The sequence below is a fragment of the Homo sapiens genome, chromosome 2 (assembly GCF_000001405.40).
Source record: "Homo sapiens chromosome 2, GRCh38.p14 Primary Assembly".
Lineage (NCBI taxonomy): Eukaryota > Metazoa > Chordata > Mammalia > Primates > Hominidae > Homo > Homo sapiens.
The window spans coordinates 163,659,304-163,667,678 of NC_000002.12; the positions used below are offsets into that span (position 1 = coordinate 163,659,304).

General features: G+C 39.7%; 1 protein-coding gene across 3 annotated transcripts in view; it reads right to left on the reverse strand.

Annotated features, from left to right (window-relative positions):
- The window catches only part of FIGN (fidgetin, microtubule severing factor), a 133,398-nt gene that overhangs the window by 56,693 nt on the left and 68,330 nt on the right, over positions 1 to 8,375 (reverse strand). The window lies entirely within an intron of this gene.

The window sequence follows — 8,375 nt, forward strand, 5'->3', positions numbered from 1 at the left end:
TTGCTACTATTTGTTTAATAATTGAGATGAGCTAATATATTCCTCTCAACTGCCAACCTAAACTACTAGAACAATCTGTCCTAAGGAATACCAAATGCATTCTTTAAATGAATCACCAAGGGCAGTGCCATGGTGATCAAACCAGATATTCTTCTGAAGGTGTGATTCAGATACTCATGGGCAGATAGAGCCCTCGAAGGGCTTGGAAATGTATCCAGATTATCCCTAGATATTGAATGAAACCCTAAGTCCCATCAAATGAAACACCATTTTGGGGGGTTAGTCCCAGAGAATCATATCAAGTGGTCTGAAATATTTTGGTCAATTTATGAAGGGATAGACATCAACTGGCTTCTAAAAAGTGAAAGAATAGGCTAACTTTTAAAAAAGTATTTCTTACCAGGGTAATTAGATTATGATTATTTGTTGGGAAACACAAATCAGATGCAACTTTTTTCTTCTTCCCCTGAAGTGGTAGAGATTGTCACCAAAACATGTGGCATGTGCATAGTAAAGAGGCCAGGTGTGGTGGCTTATGCCTGTAATCTCAGCACTTTGGGAGGCTGAGTCCAGAGGATCACTTGAGGCCAGGAGTTCAAGACCAGCCTGGCCAACATAGTGAAACCTCATCTCTACTGAAATAAAAAAATTAGCTAGGCATGGTGGCACAAGCCTGTAATCCCAGTACCTGGGTGGCTGAGGCATGAGAAGAGCTTGAACCCGGGAGGCAGAGGCTGCAATGAGTCAAGATTGCATCACTGCACTCCAGCCTGGGTGACAGAGCAAGACTCTATCTCAAAAAAATAAAAAAAAACAAAAAATAAAAAAAATTAAGGGAAAAAATGACTTATCACAGTCTGATCTTATTGAATAAAAGAAATCAACTCCCTCTTAAGAGATTTGTTATTCTGGGGCCTCTGCATAGCCTAAATATTTCTGTAGTGCTCTATTATTCTGCAAACTTTCATAATAATATTCAATGCTGCATAATGTAATTTAGATGTGAAAGAATTGATGCACCTTGTAAGAGCTCCTTTACTTCCTTCTCATTGATGGTATCTGATCTAATAGGTGGAGAAATGTGCTGAATTGTCACAGCATACATTTCAGTGAGGAAAAAAATCACTACAGCATAGAAATATTTATGGAAGTGCTGACAACATATCAATTAATAATACCTGCAACATACAAAGAGAAAATATTCTATCTTTTACAATTTGAGATAGCCAAGTCAAGACTTAATTTCATACAACCTCCATGTTGCAACACAGCAAATAATTCCACCTCTGGTGGACTATTCAGACTTGACTGAGATTTTGTTAACAGCCCAAGACTGAAAAAGAGCAACAAACTATATATACATATACATATATATATATATACACATATACATATATATGTATACACATATACATATATATGTATACACATATACATATATATGTATACACATATACATATATATGTATACACATATACATATATATGTATATAGATATACATATATATACATATACATATATATGTATACATATATACATATATATATGTATACATATATATATATATATATATATTTTTTTTTTTTTTTTTTTTTTTTTTGAGATGGAGTCTCTGTTGCCCAGGCTGGAGTCCAGTGGCATGATCTTGGCTCACTGCAAACTCCTCCTCCCAGGTTCAAGTGATTCTCCTGCCTCAGCCTCCCAAGTAGCTGGTATTACAGGCGCCCGCCACCACGCCCAGCTAATTTTTGCATTTTTAGTAGAGACAGGGTTTCACCATGTTGGCCAAGCTGGTCTTGAACTCTCGACCTCAGGTGATCCACCTGCTTCAGCCTCCCAAAGTGCTGGAATTACAGGCGTGAGCCACCGCGCCTGGCTAGATTTTTTTAAAACTATGATTACATATTAACTTTAAAATGATTATTTATTTATTATTATTATTATTATTTTTTGAGACAGAGTCTCACTCTGTCACTCAGGATGGAGTGCAGTGATGTGATCTCGGCTCACTGCAACCTCTGCCTACTGGGTTCAAGCGATTCTTCCATCTCAGCCTCCCCAGCAGCTGGAACTACAGGCATGCACCATCACGCCTAATTTTATTTTTGTAGATGGAGTTTCGCTCTCATCACCCAGGCTGGAGTACAATGGTGTGATCTCTGCTCACTGCAACCACTGTCTCCCAGGTTCAAATGATTCTCCTGCCTCAGCCTCCCAAGTAGCTGGGATTAGAAGCACCCGCCACCTTGCCTGGCTAATTTTTGTAGTTTTAGTAGAGATGTCATTTCACCATTGATAAGGTTTGGGTGTGTCCCCACCCAAATGTCAACTTGAATTGTATCTTTCAGAATTCCCATGTGTTGTGGGAGAGACCCAGGGGGAGGTAACTGAATTATGGGAGCCAATCTTTCCCATGCTATTCCCGTGTTAGTGAATAAGTCTCACAAGATCTGATGGGTTTATCAGGGGTTTCTGCTTTTTCTTCTTCCTCATTTTTCTCTTGCTGCCACCATGTAAGAAGTGCCTTTCGCCTCCTGCCATGATTCTGAGGCCTCCCCAGCCATGTGGAACTGTAAGTCCAACTAAACCTCTTTTTCTTCCCAGTCTTGAGTATGTCTTTATCAGCAGCATGAAAACAGACTAACACAGTAAATTAGTACCAGTAGAGTGAGACATTGCTTAAAAGATACCTGAAAATGTGGAAGTGACTTTGGAACTTGGTAACAGGCAGAGGTTGGAAGAGTTTGGAAGGCTTAGAAGACAGGAAAATGTGGGAAAGTTTGGAATTTCTTAGAGACTTGTTGAATGGCTTTGCCCAAAATGGTGATATCAATATTGACAATAAGGTCCAGGCTGAGGTGGTCTCAGAAGGAGATGAGGAACTTGTTGGGAACTGGAGTAAAGGTGAATCTTGTTATGTTTTAGGAAAGAGACTGGTGGCATTTTGTGCCTGCCCTAGAGATCTGTGGAATTTTGAACTTGAGAGATGATTTACCGTATCTGGTGGAAGAAATTACTAAGCAGCAAAGCATTCAGAAGGTGACTTGGCTGCTGTTAAAAGAATTCCATTTCAAAAGGGAAACAGCATAAAAGTTCAGAAAATTTGCAGCCTGGCGATGCAGCAGCAAAGAAAAACTCATCTTTTGAGGAGAAATTCAAGCTGCAGAAATTTGCATAAGTAGCTAGGAGCCTAATGTTAATCCCCAAGACCACGGGGAAAATGTCTCCAGGCCATGTCAGAGACCTTCAGAGCAGCCCCTCCCATCACAGGCCCAGAGGCTGAAGAGGAAGAGGTGGTTCTGGGGGCCGGGCCCAGGGTCCCAGTGCTGGGTGCAGCCTAGGGACTTGGTGCCTGCCCTGTGTCCCAGCTGCTCCAGCCAGGGGTGGAATGATATGGTTTGGCTGTGTCCCCACACAAATCTCAACTTGAATTTTATCTCCCAGAATTCCCCCTGTTGTCAGAGGGACCTGAATCGGGGGAGGTAACTGAATCATGGGGGCTGGTCTTTGCTGTGCTATTATTGTGATAGTGAATTAAGTCTCATGAGATCTGATGGATTTATCAGGGATTTCTGCTTTTGCTTCTTCCTCATTTTTCTCTTGCTGCCACCACATAAGAAGTGACTTTCACCTCCTGCCATGCTTCTGAGGGCTCCCCAGCCATGTGGAACTGTAAGTCCAATTAAACCTCTTTTTCTTCCCAGTCTTGGTATGTCTTTGTCAGCAGCTTGAAAACGAACTAATACAACGATGTTGGCCAGGCTGTTCACTGGCTAATTTTTTTTGGTATTTTTTGGTAGAGATGGGGTTTCACCATGTTGGCCAGCCTGGTCTCAAACTCCTGACCTCAGATGATCCACCTGCCTTGACCTCCCAAAGTGCTGGGATTACAGGCGTGATCGACCGCACCTGGCCTAAAAAATAATGTTGGTTTTTTTTTTTTGAAGACTAAGTATATTGTTGAAGAATAAGTTAGCAAGCTCTGGAAGAACCGTTCTGAATTGTAGATGTCAGGTTGTTTTTGTTTGTTTGTTTGTTTGTTTTTTGAGACGGAGTTTTGCTCTTGTTGCCCAGGCTGGAATGCAATGGCATGATCTCAGCTCACCGCAACCTCTGCCTCCCGGGTTCAAGGGATTCTCCTGCCTCAGTCTCCCAAGTAGCTAGGAATACAGGTGCCCACCGCCACACCTGGCTAATTTTGTATTTTTAGTAGAGACGGGGTTTCTCCGTGTTAGTCAGGCTGGTCTCAAACTCCCAACCTCAGGTGATCTGCAGTTATTTTAAAAAGGATAGTCTGCCGGGCACGGTGGCTCACACCTGTAATCCCAGTACTTTGGGAGGCTGAGGTGGGCAGATCACCTGAGGTCAGGAATTCGAGACCAGCCTGACCAACATGGAGAAACCCCATCTCTACTAAAAATACAAAATTAGTTGGGTGTGGTGGCACATGCCTGTAATCCCAGCTACTCAGGAGGCTGAGGCAGGAGAATTGCTTGAACCCGGGAGGCGGAGGTTGCAGTGAGCTGAGATCATGCCATTGCACTCCAGCCTGGGAAACAAGAACGAAACTCCATCTCCAAAAGAAAAGAAAAGAAAAAAAAAAGATAGTTTACTCTTTGGCCAGTAAACAAAATGACGACTTACGAGTTTTAACAAAGATAGTTTAAAGACTAAACACAACTTGGTGAACCCCAGTACTACTATTGATTAGTTTTCTGTCTTTGGGCAGTTAGTGGCTCTATACTCATCCTGAAAATGGGTGTAATTGTAGGTATGTGTGTGTCTATGGTAAGGGATAGGCTGGAGGCTGGATGTGATCAGGACTGAGGATGTAGATGAGGCAAGTGGGTCTTATAAAGGAATGGATCCCCAGGAGTCTGTATTAAGTAGACTTGAAGTCCCTCCTACCCCCCTTTAAAAAGTAAAAAGAACAATGACAGTTGAAGATCGTTCTGTTGTTAATCGTTCCTTTCTTTATAGTGTCTCCTTCAGCTGGCTTCCAAAGCTGCTTCATCTATGATCCTCTTCTCCAGTTATACAGATGCTGAATACTTTTGTACATTTCCATAGACTTACATACCTGAAAGGTTATCTAAGATTCTTATTGTTTATTAAATTCTAGTATATATATTTTATGGTTTACTTAAAATTTTACTGATACAAAACTCTAGCCAGCCAGCCATTAGTTCTTTCCCCGTCTATTTATTAATCATAGGTATTTTTCCAGAACAGTCTTAATTCTACTGATTTTATTTATAAGGGCAGCCAGTAGTAAAGCATCATTTCTTTTCCTGTTCTCCTATATTTAAACCAGCTCTAAATCTACTCGTAGGCCAGAGATTCAACTCAGGTTCATGAAACAGCGCTGCCCTAGCAAAAATCTACTAAACCTATCTTTAATCTTCAGGAAAGTTTAACTGTTACTCCAGATTTAAAAATTAAGCTATGTGAGTCAACACTCTAGCCACAAAAATGCAACAAGCAACAGATTTCCTTCAAATGAATTTGCTATTTCGTAGTTAGTTCAACAAACCAATAACGTGGGTTCTAACATTGCGTCACACCAGTACTATGGTCTGTTGATATTTACATGAAGATACCCTGGAAGTAAATTGTAAACAACTCCCCAATCTAAGCTGACTGTCTCCTGTGTGGAAACTGTTTCCCCAATGGGCTGGTGAAATGAACTATAGTTTTGTATAGTAATTCAGAAGATAATTGATTATTTGCCAAGAGTCTGTTTGTGAGTTGCCACTTATTATTATTTTTTTATCCACTCCAGGGACACATTTTCAATTTCACAGTCTTTTGCACATTGTGGACAGTGCTGTTTAATTTCTTAAAGGAAAGTGCACATTCTCTTTCTATTGTCGTTAGACTAGTGGCTCTCAAAGAGCAGGCAGGGACTATATATCCAGGGAGTAAATGCCTAGGCTCACATTTGCATGCTCACTCCATCCATAGCCTTGCGGCTTAAGAGGGAATTAAGGAAGAGCCATTCTTCATGTAAGAAAGGACACCTTTGTGTCTCACAATCTTAGATGTTCTGAGGGATAGTAAACATTCTTGAAGATATTACTCTTTAATTGTTTATGGATTATTCCTATTTTACTGTTAAAACATGAGTTTTTAGCAGAGTTAGGGAAAATTTTGTCAGGAAACAGTTGTTTTCCTCCTACAGACTAACATTCCTGCAGGCAATGCAGCAAATTAACCAATATAAATGTTTCCTTCAAAACACAGAAATCTTTTATCTATTTAGGGACAGATCACACAATATAACATGCTGAACTATTTCTATTAAGCCCAAAGATGACAAAAAAATTGAAAAGAATAAATCCATTATAAAGAATTCATATCTGCTGCTTTGTGAGCAATCTATAATACACCGTATTGTGCAAACTATAGGAGATGATGACCTAACAATACAGAATGTAGAGAGGGCTTTTGACAACAGAAAATCATAAGAGAGTATCATTTAATGGAGAGTGAAAAAAAATGATCCTGGATTCTTTTTCCCCCTTTATTTGTTGTATCACTTTGTAAAACCTCTCTATGCCTTGCTCTCTTCATCAGAAAAATGAGACCTATGGTTTTATTTTTACAAAGTGCTTTAGGATTTAGGAGAACCCAGAATGTATTATATGATGAAAGCCACCATGGTGCATGTCACATGACTATGGCAGAAAAGGAACCAAAAGCAAAACATGAATCAGCAATGAACACTCATTTTGTTTGTTTAAAACCCCAGGATGTGCAAATATATGTCAGAGCTGAAGTTGACCCTCTTCCTTTACAATCACATATTACTCTATCAGATTCTGGTTTTGAAACCTGAGTTTGGTAGAAAGAATATGGATGCAGGAAGGAGTAAAGGACAGGAGTAAGAGGGTTTCTCTCAAGCAAACCCCAAGTCACTAGGGGTGTCACCAACAGCTTCACTAACAATCCCCTAAAGGACCAGAGACAGAGGGCATTATTAGCCTTGCTTCTTCGCCTTCCTCAAGCATTCCTTTATTCCCCCAAAGGATTATACATTGACAGGGCAAATCAACAAAGCAGAAGCTGTCTCCTCCAACTGTCCAAAGTTATATGGGTTTTTAGAACCATAGGAGAGTCAGAATTGGGAATAATACGGACCATTACATTGAGGGGTAGGTCAAGATGATATATTAGAAGCTAGGAGTTCTAGGCTCCAATGCTTATTCCAATATTAATTTACTGCATTACTTTCAACAAACCAAACTCTCTGGACCTCTATTTTCTCAACTGACACTGAGGGCAAGGAAGGTAGAGAATTAGTTTAAATGATCTCCTTTTAAGACCTAGAATTCTGTTATTCTTTGAGTACATGGTTAATGACCCAGTGGAACCCAAGAACCATGTCTTGTGGATAAAAATATCAAGGTAATTTTCTAATCCAACTCTGGTATCAGGATGACAGAAATGAGGACACAAAGCCTCAAAGAAGTACCATAATCACACAGCTAGTGGCAAAATCAGAATTTGACTTTGGGGTTTGAACATAAATTTGGATATACCCCAGAAGATTTCCTGTAAATTTTCTGACTTGAGAAGTCTAAAACCAAATTCACTAAAAAAAAAAAAATTGAGACTCATGCACAATGGCTATATATTTATGTGTGTGTATGTGTATATATATATATGTATAAAAATGTACAAAATATAATCAATGTATACCGTATTTATCAAATGAATGCTATTCCCATCTGAGCCTGTTTTCCTTTCTGTATTCTCTATTTTTGGTTAGTGTCACCCCAGAGGCATAGTTTCCAGAAATAGAAGGCCTGTTATCAGTCCCTCTCATTCATCCCACTCTGAACCACTCTGCATTCACACAGACTCACCAATACAACTGATTTCATCTCTGACTTCTTTCGCCATTCTACATTCTTTCTTTATCCCCAACATGTTTGTATCATTTAGGTCTTCATCTATTGCTTCACCTGTTCTCTCCTAACTGGCCTAACTGGTTTCCTTTCTTCTGAATCCCTTTTCCATACTATCCCCACAAAAAAAAAAAAAAAACTTTTCTAAAATAAAAATGTAAACATATCTTTGACCTGCTTGAAATCTGTCAACATTCATTAGTTTACCCACAGGAGGAAGTCTAAGCTTCCTAGTGGGAAAAATTAAACCCCTTCTGTCCAAGGCCTGCATTTCCAGCTCCATTCCCTCCATTCCCACTTAACATCCCATGTTTCTGTAAGAACAAATGTTTGCAGTTATTCCTCAAGTACTGCATACCACTGTGCCTTGGCATATGCTAGTATCTCAGTCTGGAAGTCCCTAATCCTTTCCCATTGTTTACTTGAAAAATCTTATTCGTCTTTTAAAACCCAAATAATTCAT